Genomic DNA, 24,749 nt, shown 5'->3' with positions numbered 1-24,749 from the left:
TGTGAGACTTTTGTGTGGCAATTTATTGTACTTAAAAAAATGCATTAAATGAGTGGGACCTTCCTCTGTGAACCTCCAGATCAAATACAAAGACTTCAAGATAAAAAGCCTGTTCAGTGGGTAAGGACCTCTTGGGCTTGGGTTCCTTGCTCATTTGTGTTGCCTGCCTATCTGTCGCTTTCCTGAGGGGTCTCATGCCCATCCTTCTCCAACTTTTCTAATGATGTCTGAGATTCTGTTCAGAAAAATGACAGACGGAAGCACCTAGCCATTTTGAAGCTAAGTTTGGTCTGAGAAGAAGCCTTTCAAGGCTCAGTATCTGAATTATTCCTGGTCCTGCTCACAGGCTAAGTGAAAACCACTTCGATTGGCTTGGGGGGGAGGCCGACCCCACACAAGGGCGATTGTTGGAAAAAATGCCGCAACAAGCATATTTCAGGCAACAGCGCATTGCTAATTGTTTGCTTTGTGTAGTGTGCTGCTGCTTGTATGATCCAGTTTTTATTGTCTTGGGCACCCCTTAGTTGTATTTTATCTCTGGCACATCCCTGGTGACTAACTAGGCATGAGAGTCTTTCTAAATTAGGACTGTTGTTTCAGGAAGGTTGGTCACATTTGTTTCTTGATTTGGGGAGATGCAGCTCATTAATAAAATAAAGATATCTCTTCTGCTTAGTCAAGATCTCAAAGCAGGTGTCTTGGTGTATTGACCACCAACCGAGGACACGGTCTTGGTCAGAGAATGGGAGGAGGCGGGGACCATGTTCATTTCATTTATTTTTTTCCCCTTTTTGTGAGAGAAAGGGCCAGTTATTCTAAGGCACGGTCAGACCAATTTCCTTTGTGCCTTTGCTGAGGTTCTGAGCTATCCAGGTCAGGGAGAACAGTGACCTTGTGGCTCCTTTTTCGATTTTTAAAAAGAACCCAGTGCTGCTCTGGGGAGCACGTGCTCTGAGAACAAAAGCAACACTTAACTGCAATCTGTGTAGTCTAGAACGGCTATTGCTCTTCCTCCCCTATCATCCGCAGAAGGCTTGGAAGAACAGATGGAGTCTGCATTTAAGCTGAGTGGCTTTGTTAGACCAAAGGCGATCAAATTCCAGAGCCCCACGCTTTCCCGCACAGGTCCCTGGTCACCGGCTCGGGAACCTGAGGATGCTGGCAAGAACGCACACAGTGAGGGAAGGGCCACGCCCGCGACCTGTGGGCTGAGTGGATTAGAAATTACGATGATGTCACAATATGGGTGACACGCCGGTGTCGGTGTAGGGTGCCGGGGGCAGGGGGCCCTGCAGGGGCGTGGAGTGGCATTGTGCTGTCACAGGGGCTCGGGCGTCTTAGGCACCCATGTGGGTGGCGCACTAGAAGGGGCACTGCTCTGTCCGAGTGCTGCCCTTGGGGCGAGGCGGGCATGTGGCTCTACAAGGTGGAGTCCAGGCGGCCAAAGTTTGGAAAGGTAGGGAAGGACCCCCCCGCCCTCCGCCTGCTCCGCCCTGCCCTTGTTCTCGAGAATGGGGAGCTGGTTCGGACCTAGTCCGGGGTCCACTGCCACGCCCTCTTCCACGGCGAGACCACCCCCCTAGTCCCAGGCCCACACCTGGGGATGCTCCCCAGGCGCCCTGCAACCCCCGGCATTGTCCTCCTGCCCTCCGGGACAGGACTACACTTCCCGAGGTGCTTCGGGGTCCCGGGGGGCGGCGCTCCACGCGGGTTGTGGGGGGCGGGGGCGGCACGTGCCGCCGCTCTCGGCCAATGCGGAGCCCCGCGCGGAGGTCACGTGCCTCTGTTTGGCGCTTTTGTGCGCGCCCGGGTCTGTTGGTGCTCAGAGTGTGGTCAGGCGGCTCGGACTGAGCAGGTGGGTGCGGGGCTCGGAGGAGGCGGCGGCTGGCTGAGGCCAGCAAGAGGGACGCGGTCGGCGGGAGGGGCTGGGCCGTGGCAGCGACCCCCTGCTGCAGGGCGGCGGGCGGGGCTGCGGGCCTCGGAGGGGTTGGTGGGCGGGGGTCGCTCCGCTTTGTGTGTGGCTCGGGCGGAGCCTCGCCTTTGTCCCCGCTCTCCGGGGGCGCGGCTGTTCGTGGGCAGGGGGCTGGGCGATCACCGGGCGTCCGCTCCGGGGTGCCGTCGAGGAGACAATAGGGGGCGTGGGCCCTCGTTTACCTCCCTCCCTCCCTCCCTTCCCTGCGGGCCCCGCCGGGTTCCCCATTGTCTGAAGGGACGGGGCGGTGCCCCAGGGACCAGCGGCTTTAGGACCAAACTGCGGGCAGCCAGGGCCGCGACCCTCCCTGCGACCGTCCCCTGGCGACCGCAGCTGGTGATTGAGGGGCGGCGCTCCCGGGCCCCACGAGGGTTCTTCTGTCTTCGCGGCCGGACGCGCGGACAGCGTGGGTGGCGGCAGGTTGGGCATGGGGACGGCGGGAGGCGGTGGCGAGCTCACCGCGGGACCACCCGGGGGCCTGTTCCCGGGGCCTGCCCCACCCGCTGAACTGTGAAGGGGGTGGTGGCGGCGGCCTGGAGGTGTTTTTGGCGGGAGTTGGGGGGGGCGTCCGCGCAGGGGGAGTCAGGCAGGGGCGGAGTTACCCGGATTGGACCGTTAGCCCCGCCCACCCCTCCCCTTCCCACGCGCGCGGGCTCCGGGGTGTTGAGTTCGGGGAGATTCGAAAAGGCGCGGGGAGGAAGGGGGCGGGGCCAGGGGCCGGAGCGCAAGGCGTGCTCTGATTGGCCGGGGGCGACCGGTCCTCTTTTCCTCGCCCGGACCAGGGCCACGCCCATCCTGGGTCCGGTGCTGCGTCTAATTCTCTGCTTTTCTTAAATCTTGTCGCTGCCTCTGATTTTAATTCCTAGCTTTTGGGAACCTGTCATCCTACGTTTTTGGTACTAGCTGGCGTCTACAAAAGTCATAATGTTAAAAAGATCAACAAGAGATACAGCATTTTTCATGACATAACGGCAGCAAATATAAGTCAAAATCTAGAGGTTCATAAACATTTTGCTTGCTGTTGGGCAAGGAAGCTTAAACCTGAGGGACAATAGGAGTTCAACATTATTGGTTACTATTAGCTTGGGCGTTTTCTTATCCACCACGTCAGACACAGACAAAGCAGGGGTGGGTATTTCATTTGCACAATGAGTTGTAGGCAGTATTAAGATGGCTCCGGGGGCACTGTTGAGTTGAATCTGGAATATCTTCTTACAGTTTCGGTGAAATGTTAAAGAGTTTATGGGGGAAAAATTCTTCACCCTTGTGACTTTGTCTGATTTTAAAAATCCAAGAGTTTTATGACCGAGAAAGCTCAGTTAACTTGATTTTCTGGAACCAATATCATATTCAGGTCATATTTCCCAATGTTTATTTAGTAGATTTTGATAATTTTTTTCGTGGTTAATTTAGACGTCTTTATTCCACGTATTTTTCTGACGATGTATGTAGATGTGATGTGAGATTTTTTTGGGTTGATGACATATAGAAAGGCAAAGAAAGTGATTGCATGTTTTTGAAAATCATTTTCAGGACTTTCCTTATCCCAGTTGATTGTGCAGAATACACTGCCTGTCGCTTGTCTTCTATTCACCATGGCTTCTTCTGGTAGGTAATCTATTTGGAAAATCTGAAATTGTAATGGGCTTATGATTTTAGATTGAGATGGCTCAGGTCTTCGCCTTTGATTTGGCACTTATGTTTTGGTCTTACCAAAACCTATTTTATGAATAGGAGAAGAATTTAAAAATGATTATCACTTGAATGTGCCGAGAGCTCGTAATTGTTTATTGGACAGTTTGGCTTAGTCTGAAGCAAAATTGTGGAGTTTGCACAAGTCTTTTGTTTATGAAAGCGATTGTCAGATACTGATGTCTCAAAACAGTATTTATTAATCCAAAAATGTTGAGCTTTGTTTTTCTGGGAGATGGTTTTTATTTTTTTTGAGACAGGGTCTCACCTTGTTGCCCAGGCTGGAGTGCAGTGGCTTAATTATAGCTCATTGCAGCCTTGACTTCTGGAGCTCAAGTGGGCTCAAGCGATTCTCCCACCTCAGCCTCCATAGCATCTGGGACTATCGACATGGGCCACCACACCCACCTAATCAAAAAAAATTTTTTTTGTAGAGATGGGCTTTCCCTTTGTTGCCCAGGCTGGTCTCAAACTTCAGGGCTCAAGGGATCTTCCCATGTTGGCCTCCCACGGTGCTGGGATTATAGGCATGAGCCATGGTACCTGGCCTTGGGAAATGGTATTTAGATAATAATATCTTGCCTGCAAATACATCTTCCCCTAGTGTCAGTAGACTGATAGGAATAAAAAGGGGAAAAAAAACACAACTTTCCTCATCAGCCCTAGTTTAATACATTAAATTGATTTGGGTTTTAGAAAATTATAGTACAGTTTATTAGAACAGGAGAATCCTGGTTTTCTGAATTATAAATATAATCAATTCTAGATATCCAGGTGAAAGAACTGGAGAAGCGTGCCTCAGGCCAGGCTTTTGAGCTGATTCTCAGCCCTCGGTCAAAAGAATCTGTTCCAGAATTCCCCCTTTCCCCTCCAAAGAAGAAGGATCTTTCCCTGGAGGAAATTCAGAAGAAATTAGAAGCTGCAGAAGAAAGACGCAAGGTAAACGAAGCAATTCACAGAAAGCAGGATATTAATTTATGTAATGGGCAGATCAATTTTATTTCTATAACAGGAAGAAAACAGAATTGTAGCTACACTGTGATTATTACATATGCCAGTGACTGGAAGGAAATACCAGTCCTCATTTATTGAACTCCTGTTACATGCCCGCTCCTTTGTTTATATTTTTCTCCTTTAATACATGGTGTTGCCTCAAATAATGGAAATTAGAAACAGTTTCAGGAATGTTAAGTCGTTTTTCTGCAGTCATACAACTAGTAAGTGTTGGGGTCAGAATTCAAGCCCTGGTCTATCTTAAACCAAAGCTCATGCTTCTCTCATGCTTCCTCTTTGAAAAGATTTGTTGCCAGATGATTCTTTGGCACTTTGGTTTTGTTTTTTGAGAGCTGTACAATAACATTTTAAATTGCTAGTGTGATTGTGTTGCTCAGCTGGTATCATGGTAGCTTTTCTCTTATCTAAACAATTCTATTATAAAGTAACTATCTTTAAAAGCTAATCAGAAGAATCAATAAATATTAATATGCTAGTTGTAGAAAATTTGGGAAATACAGAAATTTATAAATGGAAATTAAAAGTATTCATTATCCCGCTTCCGAGAAGCAACCAGTGTTAACATTTTGGTGTGTTTCTTTCCATTCAATGTTACTCATTAACAACTGTACATAACTTTTCATTTAACTCCCTTTCTCAACAACCCTGATAGGATTGATTTTAAAGCTGGGGCAAGTGAGGCACAAAAGGTAAGGTAATAACCTTCCCCAGACCAGCATAGTGATTTGTAGTATACACACACACCCGCCCGAAGAGCCTCAGTGCTTACACTAAGGAGTCGTCTTCTATGCAATAGTGTGAGTTCATGGAGTAGGAGGAAGCAATACAACCAAAGGTTGGACAGTGGAAAGCTTTTTAGACATCAACCCTGGCCCTGTAGTCATTAGCCTGTGCTTTACATAGTAACTGGCTAAATATAATGAAACTCCCATCATGACTAGGATTTGGCAGAAGAGAATCAATAGAACCAGTGTCAGATGCTCTGTGGTTATCCTGCAAGTCAGTGGTTCCAATGTGTTTTGAGAACAAGCTGTTCTGTTGAAGGGGTCATACCAAGGTATGGTCTGGTAATTAATGCAGTTTCCTGAGACAAAAGCTAATAAGCCTTTTCCTTGAAACAAATTTTTCTGTCTTAAATAGTAATCTACAGACTTAGTCTTGAATTTCCTATCATTGTTTTATCAGTTATGGTTAAAATTTTTACAATGAGCTAGTTTTCTTTGGGTAGCTTTTGAAGTTAAATAGTGAAATTCTTTACAATAAAAGTGCCACTCGCAAGTACATATTCCTCAAGTCATCCAGATACCATTAAGCAGTAAATCTTACAAGGATTTCCTTAAGGACTAATTGGGTAAGATTTCTGAACAGATAAGCACTTTTCCAAAGTTAAATACAAATACTAGAAAAAGAATATCATTTTCACAGTATTTTATGATAGGGATAATTCAGGTCCTAATTTTGGTGTTATTTAAAGGGACCTTATTTTCTGCCCCTTTTCAATCCCCTTAGTAAATTATTTTTATTGTAATTTTAACTTATGCTGAATACATTTTATTTTTTGAGGCAGAGTCTCTGTCACCCAGGGTGGAGTGCAGTGGCACGATCTCAGTTCACTGCAACCTCCACCTCCCGGGTTCAAGCAATTCTTCTGCCTCAGCCTCCCAAGTAACTTAGACTACAGGCACCCGCCACCACGCCCGGCTAATTTTTGTATTTTTAGTATAGGTAGGATTTCACCATGTTGGCCAGGCTGGTCTTGAACTCCTGACCTCAAATGATCCACCCACCTTGGCCTCCCAAAGTGCTGGGATTACAGGCGTGAGCCACCACACCCAGCCTGAATACATTTTAGAGTGCCTAGCCTATTAAACTTTTTTTTCCAGTCCCATGAAGCTGAGGTCTTGAAGCAGCTGGCTGAGAAACGAGAGCACGAGAAAGAAGTGCTTCAGAAGGCAATAGAAGAGAACAACAACTTCAGTAAAATGGCAGAAGAGAAACTGACCCACAAAATGGAAGCTAATAAAGAGAACCGAGAGGCACAAATGGCTGCCAAACTGGAACGTTTGCGAGAGAAGGTTGGTTTCTTACTTTGTAAAAGGGTTGAGCTTGGAGTTTGATGCACCAATGAGTTGGCTTGAACTAAGTGCTTTGATAAAAGGTGTTTGGTGTCTTTTTGTCATCCATTTTGGGGCTTAACATATTAAATGAAAGGTATATTTTAAGATGGAATATTCAGTAATTCCCAGCATAATTGCACAGTCCTTGGAAGTCCAGTAGGCAGCTTGTTAGGTTCTACAAGGGACCCAGGAGATTTGATGATGATGTCTCAGAACTTAAATTGTGTGGTTCCCACAGGCTGTAATATATGCACTGAGGTTGTGTTGGGCCTCTTTGAGGTGGGGGCTGGGGGTCGTGACTTGACAGGCTTTTTTTTTTTTTTTTTTTTTTGACTGATGACACCTTACCCTTCCTTTACAGGATAAGCACATTGAAGAAGTGCGGAAGAACAAAGAATCCAAAGACCCTGCTGACGAGACTGAAGCTGACTAATTTGTTCTGAGAACTGACTTTCTCCCCATCCCCTTCCTAAATATCCAAAGACTGTACTGGCCAGTGTCATTTTATTTTTTCCCTCCTGACAAATATTTTAGAAGCTAATGTAGGACTGTATAGGTAGATCCAGATCCAGACTGTAAGATGTTGTTTTAGGGGCTAAAGGGGAGAAACTGAAAGTGTTTTACTCTTTTTCTAAAGTGTTGGTCTTTCTAATGTAGCTATTTTTCTTGTTGCATCTTTTCTACTTCAGTACACTTGGTGTACTGGGTTAATGGCTAGTACTGTATTGGCTCTGTGAAAACATATTTGTGAAAAGAGTATGTAGTGGCTTCTTTTGAACTGTTAGATGCTGAATATCTGTTCACTTTTCAATCCCAATTCTGTCCCAATCTTACCAGATGCTACTGGACTTGAATGGTTAATAAAACTGCACAGTGCTGTTGGTGGCAGTGACTTCTTTTGAGTTAGGTTAATAAATCAAGCCATAGAGCCCCTCCTGGTTGATACTTGTTCCAGATGGGGCCTTTGGGGCTGGTAGAAATACCCAACGCACAAATGACCGCACGTTCTCTGCCCCGTTTCTTGCCCCAGTGTGGTTTGCATTGTCTCCTTCCACAATGACTGCTTTGTTTGGATGCCTCAGCCCAGGTCAGCTGTTACTTTCTTTCAGATGTTTATTTGCAAACAACCATTTTTTGTTCTGTGTCCCTTTTAAAAGGCAGATTAAAAGCACAAGCGTGTTTCTAGAGAACAGTTGAGAGAGAATCTCAAGATTCTACTTGGTGGTTTGCTTGCTCTACGTTACAGGTGGGGCATGTCCTCATCCTTTCCTGCCATAAAAGCTATGACACGAGAATCAGAATATTAATAAAACTTTATGTACTGCTGTAGCAACTCCTGTGAAATGACTAAAGGGAACCTTAATTATTTCTAAAGTAGCATTTGACTCGGGTGGTTAAGGTTGGCAGATACGTCATCTTGTATCCAGAGGCTGTAATAGTCCCCATTGTCAGTGCTTTGCCTCTCAATTCAGGGAACGCCTTTGGCAGCTTTCCTGTGCTATTTGAGAAATAGCCTAATTATACATATTTTGTGCCTCTCAGACATCTGTATAAAAGCTCTTGGAAGCCAAGCACTTATAGCAAAAGATGATTGCTAATACTGCGGTGGGGTCCATGTGTTGCTAACGCATGTGCCTCTGCTGCTTGGGCTGTATCTTGAGATTGGGGTTTTACCAAACTTATTCATGAGAACAATAACAGCCTACCTCAACTTACCTCCTAAGATTGTTAGGATTAAATGGGTTTGTGGCAAGAGAGCACACTTAGAACATAGATATTTAGCATTCCGTATAAATCACGATTACTGTTTTCAACCAGAGGCTAATGAGTGATCTAAGTTTATACTCTTGAGTTGGAAATTATGCAGTTTTTATATTCCTTAAATTGACTTTTAAATTTACTTAAATGATCAATCAGAGGAATTCTGAACAAAGCTTGGTTTAAGGAGTTACGCCCATGTAGGGCAAATAGGAGCAAGTGCAAGTATAGTTGAATACAACAATAGGTTCTGAGCAATATCTAAACCAAGAGGACAGGATGAGGCTTGTGTGCAGTGGTGCAGCACAGTTCATCTTGGCTCCTGTCTCTGGCACATAGCAGGTGCTCTGGGATCTTTAAAATACCAGTTCTGAATAGATGGGAATATAAAGAGGGCCTGAGGGTAGAAACTTGGCATAATGATACGAGGTGTCCTACAAGTGGCAGTGAGCTTTTGTTCATCTAAGACATTTAGGGAGGGAAACTGGCCTCAGGAGAAAGCAAGGGAAGGATCAACAGGCCTGAAAGGATGCCTCATCAGTTACCACCCATCCCATGGTGGCCCTGACTTCCTATCAGAGGGCGATCCTGAGCCCCTGCCTTGTGACAGGCTTAAGTCACAGGAAACTGAAGGGGATGCATCTTACCACAGAAATAGAAGCTCTGGCTTTTCTATTTCACCTTGACCTTTGGAGAAGCACTTAGTCCTGGGCCCCCATTTTCTCCTGGATAAAATGAGATGGTTGGGGGAGATCAGTTAAGTAACTTTCACTCCCCCATTCTTTGCATCTGGCTTGGAGTGAAGAGGAGGAGCGGTGGCACCTACGAGCTTCTGGGGAAGTGTCTCTGGGTATGCATTCCCGGGCCCGGCATTCTCTGCCATCACGGGAGTCTGCGTCTGTCCCAGTGGGGCCAGCCTCTCCCAGCAGTACTTCCAATAGATTGGCCTAATAAGGCCAGAGTGGTTTGACAAGCAGTTGGGGCTGTCACCAAGGAGCAGACTCCATTCCTTTTGTCTTGAATGGAAAATGAGGCTTGTCCCTTCCTGAGGATTTTGTACTTGGGCCTTATGGTTGACTGGGCTCAGTGGAGAGAGGTTTGAAGGACGTGAAGGAGGCCCTTAAATTAACATTTGACAAGCACCTAGATTGTGCTCCACACTGGCCTTTGCGCTAGGGATGGAGAAAAGATGGGGTGGGACCAGCATATCACGTGCCCATGTGAGGGGAAGGAGAGCTGTAGAATGCTTACTTACCTGAGGGTGAGGCTCTCGACCACATACTTGTACTCACCAGGGTGCTTTAGTGCTTTGGTGAAAGGAGTGACCACAGAGGGCTTTGTGGTCTGGGAAGCTTTGAGAGGAGAAAGGACATGAGCTTGTCCTTTTGGAAGTCAGATGAACCTTCCAAGCCAAACCCCAATAAAGCACTTAATTGTTAAACACTTAGTAAGCCTGTGATTGCCACGTGCACAGAGAACCTGCCATAGTTAATGGCCTTTGGCAGGCCCTCCAGGCAGGCCCCCTCCCCATTTTTTTATTCTAAGCAGTGGAGGCTCTTTGAAGGCTTTTGAATGTGGGGGGCTGCAGTGGTCAGTAACAAAACCATTTTAAGGAAGAGAAAGTGGAGGCAGGGTGAGTTGACTGGAGAGTGGCTGCCGTTCAGGCTACGGTGGCCATGGTGGCTGTTGGGGCAGCACAGGGATGAGGTGGGAGGGCCTGCTGGGCTCTGGAGCAATCCATGTGACTGACACTGCACTGAGGAACTGGGACATGTGCTCTAAACTTGGGAAGCTGGAGGAGAAAGAAATCACTCCACTTGGGAAAATGGCAGTGCTACTATTTACTGAGCACTTAACGTCCAGGCATCGTGTTCATTTTCTCCACCATAGAGAAGTGAACAGGCAGAGTAACGTACCCAAGGTCCTAAGCTAGTAGGAGAAGCTTACCCAGGCAGATCTGCTCTAAGCCCTGCACAGGAAGGGGGGCTGCTCTGACAGCTCAGCATCCCCTCGTTGCCCGGAACAATTCCCCTCTGCCTCAGACCTGCTCACAAGTCTCAGCAAATGAAAGCCCTACTATTCAGCCGTTCCCACCTCCTTAAAAAGGCAGGGCCTCTTATCCTTGCATGCCTTGGAGTGAGGTCTCATCCCCCACCCCCAGCACCTTTATAAAGGTGCTCCTGTCTACTCTGTATCATTCTCCCAGTGGAGAATTCTGATTTTCAGTGATGTTTTAGCTGTCCCGGTAAACCTGTGCACCCAGATGACAGTTTGGCTACCTTACTGCGAATTCATTTGTTTGAATCACTGTTAAATGTGGTTCATTTAGGAATACAGAAGATAAAGGCCAAATTTTTTCTTTTCTTTTTTTTTTTTTTTCGAGACAGTCTTGCTCTGTTGCCCAGGCTGGAGTGCAGTGGCACGATCTTGGCTCACTGCAACCTCCGCCTCCCCAGTTCAAGCGATTCTCCTGCCTCAGCCTCCCAAGTAGCTGGGATTACAGGCGTGCACCACCGTGCCTGGCTAATTTTTGTATTCTTAGTAGAGACAGGGTTTCACCACGTTGGCCAGGCTGGTCTTGAACTCTTGACCTCATGATCTGCCTGCCTCAGCCTCCCAAAGTGCTGGCATTACAGGCATGAGCCACCGCGCCTGGCAAGGCCAAGTTTCTTATAGAAAAGCTTCCCCCTTTGGATGGAGGTTGGACTTAGATGCCCTAGAAGTTCCCTTCCAAATCCAAGACTGATTCTCTACAGGGTTGGATTGCAGACCACCTGAGATCAGAGACCATGTCATAGACACAGAGCTGAACTCCAAGGACCCAGACACATTGCTGGTGAGCCAAGTCTCTTGACACTTGCCTCCTCCCTTTTTGCCCAGGTGAAACGAAGGTCCAAAATGTCCCTGTGGCTGAGGCCTCTGCCAGCAGAAGCTGGTATTCTGTACTTAAGGGCGTAGGAAAGGGTTTCTGACTTGTTTCGTACATGCACTTAGATTTTTAAAACTTAGTTGTAGGGTTTGATGAGCTCCAAAATGCAGCAGCTTCATGGAAGGGCTCTGGTTCATAGTTAGAAAGGCCTGGCCTGCTTCCATCGTGGCCAAGAGCAGAGCAGTACCTGCCCAGTCCTTGGGCACCATATCCTACTGAGACAAGTAGGCTGCTGAAATTGGATCCATAGGAAGAAAAAACAGACAGGAAATGAGCCAGCTACCTCATAGCAGCCATCTCAGCAGAAAAGGACTGAGCCTCTCCTGGGCCTGGAGCTTCCAATCCCTGTGGCCTCCTGCTCCCCTCACTGGCAGAAAGCCCCAGTATTCACTGGGATGGGGAAGTCCCCATGCTAAGCCTAGCCTCCCCTCTTCCCTGCTCTCACAGCTCTCTATTTAATAGCAGCAACTAATAATTATTTGCATTGTCTCAGTGAATCCCCAGAACAGCCCTATGAGGTTATCATGGCCATTCCATAGGCGAGAAGTAAGGCAACTGGACCTAGATTAGGGGATTTACCTAAAATGACAACTAGCAAGCAGTAGAGTCAGGACTCAAACCCAGACTTTTAACCCCCATGCTGTACTGCAACTCCTCATGTATCACAAGTGTTACTCATTAATTCAAGTGTCTCCCCAGCTAGAACACAGGGTCCCTGAAAACAGGGACTCCTCCTGTCACATTCACCACTGGATCTCCTGGCTCGTGGTGGGAGGTTAATGTGCTGGATTAAATAATGATGAGTGGGTGGGTGACTCCCACGGTCTACCTCAGGGCACTGGCTTTGTCCTCATCCTTTGCGGACCCCATGTGGAGTAAACCCGATTTTCTAGAAGCAAATGAAGGGTCTGCACCAGCTTTGCAGATGGCTCTGAGGTGCACAATCCTTAATGGAATCCTCCTGGATCCGAACGCACAAACTGGTGGCCTGCAGCCAATGTTGAACCATAGGCATGTTGCATTCAGCCCATGCTGTGTTTTAAATTGTTGAATTAGCTGACAATTCCATGTGAAAATCTGATTTCAAGCTTATCTTGAAAAAAGCTGACAGATCTGGCAACCCTGGGCTTGCAGTCCCACCCAGCGGCCGTCAGCGGACTCTGGGCAGTTGCTGCCCCCTTGAGGCGGGACTTGTGTTCTGCAGCTCTCCATCCCCTTGGGCCCACCCACTTCTGTCTTTCGCTGGATCCGCCCTGCCCCTGCTGGAGGCCCAGCATTTGCAGTCCCTGACACAGAGACTAGTAACTCCATCACTCCAAGTCAGCCAAACTGTTTTTTAGATCAAAAGTCCAGTCAGTATAAAAGGACGTGTAATAGCCTGTAATCCCAGCACTTTGGGAGACCGAGGCGGGCAGATCACGAGGTCAGGAAATTGAGACCATCCTGGCTAACACGGTGAAACCCCGTCTCTACTAAAAATACAAAAACAAGATTAGCCGGGCGTGGTGGCGGGTGCCTGTAGTCCCAGCTACTCGGGAGGCTGAGGCAGGAGAATGGTATGAACCCGGGAGGTAGAGGTTGCAGTGAGCATAGATCACGCCACCGCACTCCAGTCTGGGCAACAGAGCGATACTGTGTCTCAAAAAAAAAAAAAAAAAAAAAGACGTATAATAAAAGTGAATCTCCCTCCCTCCCAGGTCACCTAGCTGTCTCCCGTGTCTCCTTCCAGAGATGTACTGTACCTCTAAGCCCAGTCACCAAACACTTGCTGGCACCTCTATGGGCCAGACACCAGCTGGGTATCAGGATCACATGGTACTTTTTCAAAATATGAGACTCAGGACCCTCAGACCTTTGGAGGTAGAATTTCTAAAATTGGAGCCAGCCTGTTGCTGGGTGTGGTGGTACACACCTGTAATCCCAGCACTTTGGGAGGCCGAGGAGGGAGGATCACTTGAGGCCAGGAGTTAGAGACCAGCCTTATTTATTTAGAGACATAGCAAGATTCTGTCTCTAAATAATTAAAAAATGAAAGTAAATAAAAAAATAAAATTGGAGCCCCAGTGTCTAGAATTTTTTTCAGACAGGGTCTCTCTCTTTGTCACCCAGGCCGGAGTGCAGTGGTGCAAACACAGCTCACTGCAGCCTCAACATCCTTGGCTCAAGCAATCCTCCAACCTCAATTTCCAGAGTAGCTTGGACTATAGGTGCATGCCACAATGGCCGGCTAATTTTCGTATTTTTTGTAGAGACAAGATTTCACCATGTTGCCCAGGCCGGTCTCGAACTCCTGAGCTCAAGCAATCCACCAGCCTCAACTTCCCAGAGTGCTGCGATTACAGGCATGGGCCATCGTGTCTGGCCTAGATTTTTTTTTTTAAGCCAGCGTTTCTGTTGCTCACCTAGGCAGAGACCCCTCAGGATGCAACATCTAAACACCATTGCCATCTCTCCAGTCCCCAACAGCCTGGTGGAGATGGGCCTGCAGCTGCACCCATCACAGCCCCTGCTCACAGTGTGCAGACTGTACCCTGCACAGGAGATCCCACTGAGGAGATGTGGGGCCTGAAATCCAGTCATACCCTACAACCAAGGCACACAGTACATTCCCTCATCTTCCCAGGAACAGGCACCACTTCCTAATTTACCATGTTACCCATTCAATACAAATACAGGGAGACCTGTGCTCTCCTCTGCTGTGGGACACAGATAGGGGCTCCTCAGGATGCAGGCCCAGGATGAATTCCTGTAGGAGATAATGCTTGGGTCAAGTTTGGTTTAGGGAATAGAAGCAAAGAAGTCACCTCTCTACTTTTTACCTCCCCAATCCAGGCTACCCCACCCCATGACTCCCTGTGGTTATCAGGGACATCACCATTCTCCTGGCCACTGACAGGGACACTTTAATAACAGTACACATTGGCCAGGCGCAGTGGCTCACACCTGTCATCCCAGCACTTTGGGAGGCCAAGGTGGGCGGATCACCTGAGGTCAGGAGTTTGAGACCGGCTTGGCCAACATGGTGAAACCCCGTCTCTGCTAAAAATACAAAAATTAGCCAGGCGTGATGGCGGGTGCCTGTAATCCCAGCTGCTTGGGAGGCTGAGGCAAGAGAATGGCTTGAACCTAGGAGGCGGAGGTTGCAGTGAGCCGAGTTCACACCATCGCAGTCCAGCCTGGTCAACAAGAACAAGACTGTGTCTCAAAAAAATAAATAAAAACCACTGTACATCAACAAGGCCCTTGGGGACAGCTGGGGCATAAGTAGGTGTCAGCCATACATCAGAGCAGTGTGCCTGCCCTGAGCTGCTTGGGGTTGACCAGCCTGGTGTCCAGAAATGCCTGCTGGAGGGAGTCGTGGTACAGGAACCTTGTGCTCTTAGAAGGTCTCCTGAGAGGCCCTGTAAAGCCAGAGTCCCTCTTAGCAGCTCAGATCAGTGCTATCAAAGTATAGCTCGGGGATTGCTGCCAGCATACAAACTTTTACTGGTCTGCAGCGAGATAAGTACAGAAATTGAAAGTAAGCATTTAGAAACTTTTATAACAATTTTACAAGGTCTTGTCAAATGTTATTAAAACAAAGCTGAGGCTGGAATTTCACCTTTTTCATTTCGTTTTTTTCAATTTAAACAAATTGTAGTAAAATATAGATAATATAAATGTACCATTTTAGCCATTTTTGAGCGTACAATTTAGTAGCAGTAAGTGCTTTCACAATATTGTGTAACCACTAGTATTATATAGTATATATTTTTAAAATTTTACAGAAGTATTAAGTTAGCAGCAGATTAAACATTTTTTTCTTAAATTGAGCTTGAGAAGCGCTGGCCTAAATGGTAACCTGTGGGGAAGCCTTGATGGTTTGGAGGCTCCTAATTGAGTCCATTGCTTGGCTTTTTTCCCCAAATCACGGAGTGGAGTTAGGTCCCAGAGAATGGTGTTGGCTGAGGCCCAGGCTCCCACCCGGGCTAGAAAACTGGGCAGATGGGCACCACCCTTGAAGGGAGGCCAGCCAGGCACTGCAAAGCCTGGGGTAGTGCTGTCCCGTGTGCCCGGGCCAGGAAGGCTAGATGAGAGGCCCGGGGGCGTTTGGTTTAGAGGCCCAGCAGGCTTTCCTTCTGACTCAGTGTAGGGAGGCGGTTGTTTAGAATCTCAAGAATCTCAGCTCCAGCTGGGAGGGGACCCTCAGCGGCTCAGCGGCTCAGCCGTGGTGGCATCTACCCTCCCTGTTTAAAGAAGGAATCTGAGGTAAGAGAGAAAGAACTGGTTCAAGCTTGCAACCAGTTAGTGATGTAGTAGTGATGGTCTCAAATACAGGCCTTTTAATTCCTAGGCAGAGGCAGGGCAGAGATTTTATTTAAAAAAAAAAAAAAAAAAAAAAGTCTTGCTCTGTCTCCCAGGCTGGAATGCAGTGGCGCAATCTCGGCTCACTGCAACCTCCGCCTCCTGGGTTTAAGCAATTCTTCTGCCTCAGCCTCCCAAGTAGCTGGGATTGCAGGCACCCCACCACCATGCCCAGCTAATTTTTGTATTTTTAGTAGAGACGAGGTTTTGCCATGTTGGCCAGGCTAGTCTCGAACTCGACCTCAGGTGATTCGCCCACCTCGGCCTCCCGAAGTGCTGGGATTACAGGCGTGAGCCACAGCACCTGGCCTAATTTATTTTTAATTTTAATTTTTAAATTTTTCTCAGACTTTAGTGAGCATAAGAATGGGCAGAGATTTTTAGAGTCACACAGAATAGTATTCCGGTTCTGGCTCTAAGAGCTTTTCAGGGGGCTTGGGCACCCATACCCTCATCTGTAAACTGCAGAGACCCCCTCGCAGGCTGCATGAGTATTGAGCCCAGTGCTGAAATGCCCAGCACAGGGCTGGCCCCTCCCTGCCCAGTGTTCCTCCTGCCAGCTTCATGGGTCTCCCCAGCCTGCCATTTCCCCCTCATTGTGTGTGTTGGTGGTGGGGGGTGGCGGGGTGCAGATGAAGGCAGATCCTCTTCCCCAGAATGAGGAGAGCAGGGGGCTCACAGCCTGCTGCACTGGCCCACCTCCACAGCCCTGTCCCCACTGGCCGCCTCTCTGTACTTGCCTCTGCCAACTCTCTGGGTCTTTGGCCTTTCTTTCCAAGATGCAGAACGTTTGTAAAACGAAGGGGTTGGACCAGAAGAACTCAGAAGTCCATTTTGAGAAGGGGAAGCTAAAGTTCAGATGCCTTAAAGTTCTGTGTCTTTTCTAGGAGGTCCAAACTCCCAGCATATCTGACTGGGCTGCCCCCAGGGGACTGGGACATCTGCTTTTGTGTCACCTGGCTCCATCATTTCTCCCTCCTCTCTTTTCTTTCTCTTACATGACTGAAGTTGTTTGAGCTCTTAAACAATTTGCCGTGCATTGTATAGGCATTTTACATAATCCATCTGAATTTTTTTTTTTTTTTTAAGATGGAGTTTTGCTCTTGTTGCCCAAGCTGGAGTGCAATGGCATGATCTCGGCTCACTGCAACCTCTGCCTCCTGGGTTCAAGCAATTATCCTGCCTTAGCCTCCTGCAGCTGGGATTACAGGTGCCTGCCACCATGCCCGGCAAATTTTTGTATTTTTAGTAGAGATGGGGTTTCACCATGTTGGTCAGGCTGGTCTTGAACTCCTGACCTCAGGTGATCCAGCCACCTCGGCCTCCCAAAGTGCTGGGATTACAGACATGAGCTGCTGTGCCCGGCCCCGATTGAATCCTTAAAACAACCTTGTGAAGTAAATACTATTCTTTTTTATCCCATTTTATAGATGAGGAAACTGAGGTTCAGAGAGGGTCAGGTCACTCATCCACTGCTAATTAGAGGCAGAGCCAGCAGGCTGCTTGCTCTCTCAATGCCATTTTCCAGATGGCGGGGGTCCCATTCTGGCTTGAATTCATGGGGCTCAATATGGCAGTGCCTGTGCTCACCTCTTCTTTCCAGTTTTTTCCAAATGGTCTCTGACTCAGTCCCTGGATACGCTCGCCTAGCAGGATCTCCTGGGCTGCTGGGTGTGTCCCGTAGACCCTGGCCGACCTACGGATGAAATGAGTAGTCAGACAGGTATGCAGTGTAACAGCAGCTAGATGACTACCTGGCTCTAGTGGCCAGAGAGCAGCCCCGAGAAGCTGGGGCTGCTTGCTTTTATTCCGTGCAGGCACAATGCCGGAAACCTGGAGCCAACACAACCTGTAGGTAATTAACATTTATTCTTCCCCTTTCAGGGAACTTCATGTGCAGATAATCAAAGGTCAGTTTCTGGTCAACATAAGTAAACAAGCCTGTTTAAGATAAATTCCCCCACACTCCCTTGTACCTACTCCTTGCCCTCTGCCTCAGGGTTATGGAACAGCTGCCTTCAGCTGTTCTCTCCTGGAGCTTTGCAGAGCCCTCTGACCTTTCAGAAGGCCTGCTCCTTTTCCCTGTAGTTTCTCCCACCACTCTGACTGATCTCCTACACTGGGCAATCAGGGAAGAGGGCTGGGATGTTAGTCCAGTTTCGGACATACCTCATGTGTTGCGTCCCCTTCCCCAAGCTCCTTCTTCTGCTTTCTCTTTAGATCTTCAAGAGCTAGAAGGTTCCCTAAGAGACCACCCGAAACAAGCCTCTCCATCCACGTATTCATTGAATGAATACACCTCCAGTCCTCCTACTTACCAGGCAGTGTTAGGTCCTGAGGATACAGCGATGGACAAGGCAGACAAGGTCTCTGCCCTTGTTTACATCCTGGGGGGAGAAGACAGACTATAAAAGAGATTAGGATGAGTGCTGTGAGGATGAAAAGGGTGATATAACAGACAATGACTGTGGGCAGGTGCAGTGTGTTCCTGGCAAAGGGAACTGCTAGTGCCAAGGCCTGATGGCAGGAACTAGCAGGTGTGAGGAAGGAGCCTAAGTGAGGCCCTCTTGGCTGGATGAGGTGGGCAAGGGGACCCCATACAAGGAGGTGCTCAGGGTCCAGCTGTGTAGCCTGGGGCCAGGGCGAGGGTTTGGTTATAGTCTGCATGATGCAGTTTTGAAGGGCTTTAAGGGGGGAGTGATGTGATCAGATTACATGTGTAAAGAATTCTTCAGCCACCAGGAGGAGAATGGACGGTAAGGAGAGCCGGAGTGCACAAGGGAGAGAGATGAGAGTGGCTTGGACAGTGAGGTGGAGGGTCATGGTTAGATTCAGGATCTAGGTCATGGTGAAGATAACAGGAGCTGTTGGACTGGATGTGGGCATGCAGTGAGGGCTGACTCTTGGGCTTTTCCCTTGGGGAGCTGAGTGAAGGGGGGTGCCATCTACTCAAACAAGCCTGGAGAAGGAGTAGGTGTGGGGGGATGGATGGAGGGGAACAATGGTTTCATTTGGCCATCATGGCAGACCTTGCTGGCTGCTCTCCCAGGACTGAGTCTCTCCTCCCTTATAACAGAAACCTGAAAAGTGTTTTATTTTGTTGTTTTTGTTGTTTGAAATGAAAGGTCTCACATATTTATTACTGAACCCAGCCAACCAACGCATTCATAACAGATTCAGAGAGGAAAAATGTATTCCCAATAAAACATGTCTAACTGCAGATAACGGTGACATTTTCAGCTTGATATGGTAATGTGATTGTGACCTTCAGACAGCATAAATGTGTGTGCCATCTCATGTGGAATTCCTTATAGACCCAGCTTGGTTCTCCTCCGATGTCTCCTTTTGGAGTTGTACCTGATTTTATTGCCAGTTTTCATCCTAATCCACTGGAGAATGGAACGATTTTGCTTTTGTTTCTTGACCAGGAAGTCTTGTGAGAAGACATGGCAAGAAGCGGAGTCAAGCACACACCACGATGGCAGAGAAAGGGAGAGAGGGGCCATTGTTTTTGTTGTTGTTAAGTAGTCACCTGTCTGGCTCCTTGTACCTTTTGCCCTTTTCCCATCCTCCTTTTTCCTGGAACAGAGACGTGATACCTAGAAGTACAGCAGCCATCTTGTGATCATCAGGGTAAAAGTCACATGATGGCTGGGACAGGGAGATGGATAGATCGTGGGTCCTTGATAATATCATTGAGCTGACATACCAGTCTAGGCAAGTTGATCATTTTACTTGTTTAAGCCACTGTTTTTGAGCCACCACACCTGGCCCATTGTGGCTTTTCATTGCTTGCTGCTGAATGAAGTCATAGCTGATGGAGTCATGTTGAGTTCAAGATTTTTGGAGGAGGGACGTGGGTCTAGGGAAGGAGGATGAGGTTACCCCATACACTGAGCTAGTCAACCCAGAGTTCAGTCGTTTATTCATTCAAGAAATATTTATTGAGGACCTACTATGCACCAGCACTATCCCAGGTGCCGAGAATTTAGCAGCAAATAAAGCAAGGATTCTCACCCTTGAGGAGTTTGCATTCTGCTGTAATCAAGAAGCCAGCCTGACTTATGGGCAATTGCATTTCATTTAATCCCAAGGGTGGTGGGGTATGAGGTGTGAACAGGTGATGGTGGTCGGGCATGGCATGTCTATTCCCACAGCCCTCCTCACCCACTCGTGATGTTAGCAAATCAAAATAGTCAACATGTTTCTTCAGTGTTTTCTAGGAGCCAAGCACTGTGCTGTGTTCTACCTCTGACGGAGGTGTTCTGATTATCCCCATGTTATAGGAAGGTTAAGAAAGCAGCTCTAGTCACACAGCTAACCAGCGGTTGTGCTAGATTTAAACCCAGGGCTTTCTGACTCCAGAAATTCACTGACCCCCCTCCCACCCCTGGGCAACCTCTTTAAAAAACAACAACAACAACAACAACAAGGGCCGGGCACGGTGGCTCACGCCTGTAATCCCAGCACTTTGGGAGGCCGAGGTGGGTGGATCACGAAGTCAAGAGATCGAGACCATCCTGGCCAAAATGGCGAAACCCCGTCTCTATTAAAAATACAAAAATTAGCCAGGCATGATGGCACATGCCTGTAGTCCCAGCTACTCAGGAGGCTGACGCAGGAGAACCACTTGAACTCGGGAGGCGGAGGTTACAGTGAGCCAAGATTGCGCCATTACAGTCCAGCCTGGCGACAGAGCGAGACTCCATCTCAAAAAAACAAAACAAAACAAAAAAACCCCAAAAAACACATCTTTATTGTCTAGAAATCTATATTTTCAAAATCCCCCAGAAAAGATGCTGTTCTCTCACTTCCCCCATTTTCTTCCTTTTCTTCCATACCTCTACTATAAAGGACATTTTTATACCATATTAAAACTTCACCCAGATGTCCAGACAGCTCCCCACCTATGTATTTCTCTTATTTGCAAGCTGCATGTTCATGTAGCCATCTAAGATGCCAGATAGCCCTTGTACTCCATTCCCCACTTTGTTTCAGCATCACCGGCTTTCCTGTTAACCCACTGAGGAAAGCTTCGGGATTGAGGGGTAGACTTACCGTAACTATGGGCAAATGCTGCAGGCTCCTGGACAACCTCTTGGCCCCTTTTCCTGTACCCCTTTTTGTCATTGTTTAACAAACCACTTCCTGATTTCCCCTTTCTCCTTGCTTTGGAAAGGGACAATGTCTCTTGTTCATTCCTGTGGTCCAGGCACCTGAACGAAGGCCTGGCAACCTTCATTCCTCCATCCCACTTTTTAAGAAGCTTTCTCTATGCTGAGTGCTGGGAATATAGACAAGTCACAGAACAAGACACACAACCCAGGAGGGAAACAGGTAATTAACAGGTGTCACAGTATAATGGGTCTGGTAGGATAATCAGAGGGACCTACCTTTCCTTGGTACAGGAAAGGGCATCCAAGTCAGAACAGGGTGGTGGGGACCGGTCAACGAGGGCTGCCTGGAGGAGTTGACACCTGAGCTGAGTCCCAGATGAGAAGCAGGAGTTGAGCAGATAAATAAAAGCAGTGGGGCCAGGCACGGTGGCTCATGCCTGTAATCCCAGCACTTTGGGAGACCGAGGCAGGCAGATCACGAGTTCAAGAGATCGAAACGATCCTGTCCATGGTGAAACCCCATCTCTCCTCAAAATACAAAAATATTAGCTAGGTGTGGTGGCAGGCATCTGTAGTCCCAGCTACTCAGGAGGCTGAGGCAGGAGAATCTCTTGAACCTGGGAGGCGGAGGTTGCAGTGAGCTGAGATCACACGACTGCATTCCAGCCTGGGCAACAGAGTGAGACTCCATCCCCCACCAAAAAAAAAAAAAAAAAAAAAAGTGGTGGGGGTGTTCCAGACAAAGGGAGCAGCACATGGAGGGTGGAGAGAGGCGAGATGGCAGCATGTGAGCATGGCTGGACTGTGGATGCAGGTGCACTCGTCTCCCACTAAGGAGTCCCGCCTAAGCATCCTAGAAATCTGGGGCCAGAAGGATCTTAATCATCAACAAATCCAACCTCCTCCTTTTCCAAATGAAGCCCAGAGAGGGGAAGCCATTTTTCCAAGGTCACATAGAAAGCTAATGATGGAGAATAGACTCAAACTTGCTGCACTGCCTGAGTTTTGGATTTTCTTTTTTTCCTTCCATTCCTTCCCTCTGCCCTTCCCTCCCACTGTCCTCCAATTCATATTTGTCACATGCCTACTTTGCACCAGCCCAGTACCCTGACCTCCTTGCCTTAGAACCTTAGGCTTCCAGAGCCTAGGTCATCACCACCTCTTCCTATCAAACCTCCTCCCCACACCCCGTTCCTGCCTGACCTTTCCTACTCGTTAAAAATCCAGATGCCTAGGTTGCTTCCCATACCAACAAGATCAGAATGTCTGGGGGTGGGGGCCAGGTGTCAGTATTTTTTAAAGATCCCTGGATGATTCCATTTGTAGCAAAGTTTGAGAACCACTGTTTTAGCCCTGATGAAGGGCCCCTCCACCTCCTGTCCCTTGGCCTCTGGGTTGCAGATGACCTGGTGATTTTTCTTTTTCTTCCAGATGTACTTCTGGACTCACGGGCCTGGGGCCCACCCAGCACAGATCTCTGCTGAGCAATCTTGTCTCCACTCTGTTCCTGCCCTTTGCCCAGCCCTGGGCCTCCAATCTGCATTGATTACCTGGTCTGATCTCTCTCACCATCACTAGGTACTTAATAAATATTTGCTGTTGATGATAGCAATGACCTTGAGACTGATGAACAGTCTGGCCAAGAGGATCCTTGATGTGGAAGATAGAAAAAGCCTTTGGGGTCAGGCAGACTTGGATTCTAATACCAGCCAGTTCTGCTTGCTGTGTCTGAGCCTCAGTTTACTCATCTGTGAAGAGGAGGTAGCAAGAATGAAAATGCCTGCCTTGTGGTTTGTTGTAAGGACAGACACTGCCAACGTAGAGGGCCCAGCAGCTCACAGACCAGTTGCTCTGAGAGCAGACCACTCTTGCCTTGATGGTAGGGAACTATTTTTGTGCGTGGCAAGTGGGACCTTAGGAAGGAAGGCAACTGTGAGGCTTCTGAGAAGGACCCTACACAAGGGAGTTTCCTCCCAGGGCAGGTGAATGGAGAGGGTGGCAGAAGCCTACGGGAAGGGGTCACAGGGATCAGCTAGAGAGTGCCACCACCCTTCCTGGGGAATGCAGGGCAAGGTCCCTGGTGGGAGTTTTCCTGGGAAGCCAAAGAAGCGCCCAACAAAGACAGAATCAACATTTGGGTACCTTTGGTACCCAGAGGCAGCAATGCCAACTACAACCACACTGGAAGAAGAAGACCTTCTCCGCATAGATTCTCTGATCTCTTCCTCCTTCATGGCACCAGCCCTGGGGAACCAGCATGGTGGGGAAATAATGAAGCTGGAATACAACCACTTACAGACTTCACAACCTCCTCCTGTAGATACCAAAGGGATTTTAGGATCACATTTTATTTCTCACCTGAGCAAGAAAAGCTACAGGAGCATCTCAAGCAGAGGGCAGGAGTCTCCAGAGGAGTTCAAGGGGCTCTGGCAAGAAAAATCAAGGGGCTGTGTTCAAGAACTGGCTCCCTTGGTGATTGTATTACGAAGCCCATGTGTGCTGGATGCTGATGAAATTGCTGCCAAATGCCTGTGCAGCCTTGGCAAGGCCCTTTATTTCTCTGGGTCTCCATTTCTCTCTCTCTTTTTTTTTTTTTTTTTTTTTTGAGGCAGAGTCTCACTCTGTCGCCCAGGCTGGAGGGCAGTGGCGTGATCTCGGCTCACTGCAAGCCCCACCTTCTGAGTTCACGCCATTCTACTGCCTCAGCCTCCCGAGTAGCTGGGACTACAGGCGCCCACCACCACGCCCGGCTTATTTTTTGTATTTTTAGTAGAGACGGGGTTTCACCGCATTAGCCAAGATGGTCTCGATCTCCTGACCTCGTGATTCACCCACCTCAGCCTCCCAAAGTGCTGGGATTACAGGCATGAGCCACTGCGCCCGGCCTGGGTCTCCGTTTCTCTAGCTGTGAAATGACTGTTCTAAAAGAGCCCTGCCGGACTTTGGCAGTCTGTAAGAAGACCTGAGTTCTTCTCTCAGTTCCAAGCAGGAAAATTGAACATACCCTGAGCCCAGAGCCTGCAACAAACTCTGGGCAGCCTCAGGAAGTCAGGCAGTGAAGTCGGAAAAATGATCTCTTCTGTATAGGGAGAAAATAAAAGTTTAAAAATTTGTAGTTTGAAGATGTCAGTTGCCATGTCAATTTTTATATTATTATTTTTTCCATTTCCTGGTAATGAGATGCTATGTTATCTTTATTTATTTATTTATTTATTTGTTAGAGACGGGGTCTCGCTTCGTCGCCCAGGCTGCAGGGTAGTGGCGCAACTATAAGCTCACTGCTGTCTGGAATTCCTGGGTTCAAGTGAACCTCCCACCTCAGCCTCAGCAGCTGGGACTAAAGGCACATAATACCACACCCAGCTAATATTTAAATGTTTTGTAGAGACTGTGTCTCACCATGTTGCCCAGGCTATTCTCCAACTCCTGGCTGAAGCAATCCTCTGGCCTCAGCCTCCCATATTCTTTTTTAAACAGCTTCTTTAGAGCACAATTTACATACCATAAAGTTGACCTCTTTTAAAAGTGTACATTGCGCCGGGCGCGGTGGCTCACACCTGTAATCCCAGCACTTTGGGAGGCCAAGGAGGGTGGATCACGAGGTCAGGAGATCGAGACCATCTTGCCGTCTTGGCTAACAGGGTGAAACCCCGTCTCTACTAAAAATATGAAAAATTAGCCAGGCGTGGTGGCACGCATCTGTAGTCCCAGCTACTTGGGAGGCTGAGGCCGGAGAATGGCGTGAACCTGGGAGGCAGAGCTTGCAGTGAGCTGAGATGGTACCACTGCACTCCAGCCTGGGTGAC

General features: G+C 48.1%; 1 protein-coding gene, 1 long non-coding RNA gene, 1 other non-coding gene and 2 pseudogenes across 6 annotated transcripts, besides 12 other annotated features; 2 read left to right on the top strand and 3 right to left on the bottom strand.

Moving 5' to 3' along the window:
• On the bottom strand, positions 1 to 1,694 carry LOC105376885 (uncharacterized). Its single transcript, XR_947102.1, has 2 exons — positions 1,598 to 1,694; positions 1 to 1,208 (listed from the first exon to the last, which is right to left on the bottom strand). It is a non-coding gene; the product is annotated as an uncharacterized LOC105376885 (long non-coding RNA).
• Positions 1,364 to 24,065, top strand: STMN1 (stathmin 1). 4 transcript variants are annotated; one of them, NM_203399.2, is made up of 5 exons: positions 1,364 to 1,456; positions 3,506 to 3,580; positions 4,431 to 4,603; positions 6,562 to 6,753; positions 7,157 to 8,128. In NM_203399.2, exons 2-5 carry the CDS (start codon positions 3,568 to 3,570, stop codon positions 7,226 to 7,228), a joined length of 450 nt encoding a protein of 149 aa, NP_981944.1. In that variant the 5' UTR covers positions 1,364 to 1,456; positions 3,506 to 3,567; the 3' UTR covers positions 7,229 to 8,128. The 4 variants fall into 4 exon arrangements, with proteins under 4 accessions (NP_981944.1, NP_001138926.1, NP_005554.1 ...); NM_001145454.3 differs by lacking the exons at positions 1,364 to 1,456; positions 7,157 to 8,128 and adding exons at positions 1,825 to 1,855; positions 22,375 to 24,065; NM_005563.4 differs by lacking the exon at positions 1,364 to 1,456 and adding an exon at positions 1,825 to 1,855.
• Positions 1,583 to 1,892: a silencer, noted in NCBI's record as "silent region_469". NCBI's record gives its function as "represses an Ori minimal core promoter by ATAC-STARR-seq in GM12878 lymphoblastoid cells {active_cell/tissue: GM12878}" and the evidence as "EXISTENCE:reporter gene assay evidence [ECO:0000049][PMID:35858748]".
• Positions 1,790 to 1,882, top strand: MIR3917 (microRNA 3917). The gene has a single exon (NR_037481.1). It is a non-coding gene; the product is annotated as a microRNA 3917 (primary transcript).
• Positions 1,913 to 2,002: a silencer, noted in NCBI's record as "silent region_468". NCBI's record gives its function as "represses an Ori minimal core promoter by ATAC-STARR-seq in GM12878 lymphoblastoid cells {active_cell/tissue: GM12878}" and the evidence as "EXISTENCE:reporter gene assay evidence [ECO:0000049][PMID:35858748]".
• Positions 2,393 to 2,812: a silencer, noted in NCBI's record as "silent region_467". NCBI's record gives its function as "represses an Ori minimal core promoter by ATAC-STARR-seq in GM12878 lymphoblastoid cells {active_cell/tissue: GM12878}" and the evidence as "EXISTENCE:reporter gene assay evidence [ECO:0000049][PMID:35858748]".
• Positions 2,393 to 2,886: a biological region, named in NCBI's record as "Sharpr-MPRA regulatory region 5934".
• Positions 2,592 to 2,886: a silencer, noted in NCBI's record as "tiled region #5934; HepG2 Repressive DNase unmatched - State 1:Tss, and K562 Repressive non-DNase unmatched - State 1:Tss". NCBI's record gives its function as "represses a minimal TATA promoter and a strong SV40 promoter by Sharpr-MPRA in HepG2 and K562 cells {active_cell/tissue: HepG2 | K562}" and the evidence as "EXISTENCE:reporter gene assay evidence [ECO:0000049][PMID:27701403]".
• Positions 12,532 to 12,826: an enhancer, noted in NCBI's record as "tiled region #13744; K562 Activating DNase matched - State 25:Art, and HepG2 Activating DNase unmatched - State 12:CtcfO". NCBI's record gives its function as "activates a minimal TATA promoter and a strong SV40 promoter by Sharpr-MPRA in K562 cells, with weaker activation in HepG2 cells {active_cell/tissue: HepG2 | K562}" and the evidence as "EXISTENCE:reporter gene assay evidence [ECO:0000049][PMID:27701403]".
• Positions 12,564 to 12,613: an enhancer, noted in NCBI's record as "active region_471". NCBI's record gives its function as "activates an Ori minimal core promoter by ATAC-STARR-seq in GM12878 lymphoblastoid cells {active_cell/tissue: GM12878}" and the evidence as "EXISTENCE:reporter gene assay evidence [ECO:0000049][PMID:35858748]".
• Positions 16,619 to 17,122: an enhancer, noted in NCBI's record as "H3K27ac-H3K4me1 hESC enhancer chr1:26217613-26218116 (GRCh37/hg19 assembly coordinates)". NCBI's record gives its function as "activates a minimal SCP1, AML or CMV promoter by ChIP-STARR-seq in naive H9 embryonic stem cells {active_cell/tissue: H9 hESC(naive)}" and the evidence as "EXISTENCE:reporter gene assay evidence [ECO:0000049][PMID:30033119]".
• Positions 17,123 to 17,626: an enhancer, noted in NCBI's record as "H3K27ac hESC enhancer chr1:26217109-26217612 (GRCh37/hg19 assembly coordinates)". NCBI's record gives its function as "activates a minimal SCP1, AML or CMV promoter by ChIP-STARR-seq in naive H9 embryonic stem cells {active_cell/tissue: H9 hESC(naive)}" and the evidence as "EXISTENCE:reporter gene assay evidence [ECO:0000049][PMID:30033119]".
• Positions 17,123 to 18,333: a biological region, named in NCBI's record as "P300/CBP strongly-dependent group 1 enhancer GRCh37_chr1:26216402-26217601".
• Positions 17,134 to 18,333: an enhancer, noted in NCBI's record as "P300/CBP strongly-dependent group 1 enhancer chr1:26216402-26217601 (GRCh37/hg19 assembly coordinates)". NCBI's record gives its function as "activates an origin of replication core promoter dependent on BRD2, BRD4, P300/CBP, MED14 and CDK7 cofactors, with strong dependence on P300/CBP, by STARR-seq in HCT116 cells {active_cell/tissue: HCT116}" and the evidence as "EXISTENCE:reporter gene assay evidence [ECO:0000049][PMID:35650434]".
• Positions 17,652 to 17,946: a silencer, noted in NCBI's record as "tiled region #12616; K562 Repressive DNase matched - State 5:Enh". NCBI's record gives its function as "represses a minimal TATA promoter and a strong SV40 promoter by Sharpr-MPRA in K562 cells {active_cell/tissue: K562}" and the evidence as "EXISTENCE:reporter gene assay evidence [ECO:0000049][PMID:27701403]".
• RPL39P7 (ribosomal protein L39 pseudogene 7) lies at positions 18,940 to 19,327 on the bottom strand (annotated as a pseudogene).
• Positions 20,542 to 20,914, bottom strand: SNRPFP2 (small nuclear ribonucleoprotein polypeptide F pseudogene 2; annotated as a pseudogene).
• Positions 24,066 to 24,749: the final 684 nt, after the last annotated feature.

This window comes from Homo sapiens, chromosome 1, assembly GCF_000001405.40.
Source record: "Homo sapiens chromosome 1, GRCh38.p14 Primary Assembly".
Lineage (NCBI taxonomy): Eukaryota > Metazoa > Chordata > Mammalia > Primates > Hominidae > Homo > Homo sapiens.
Note: the sequence above shows the minus strand (reverse complement) of the source record. Positions and strands in the feature narration are given on the sequence as shown.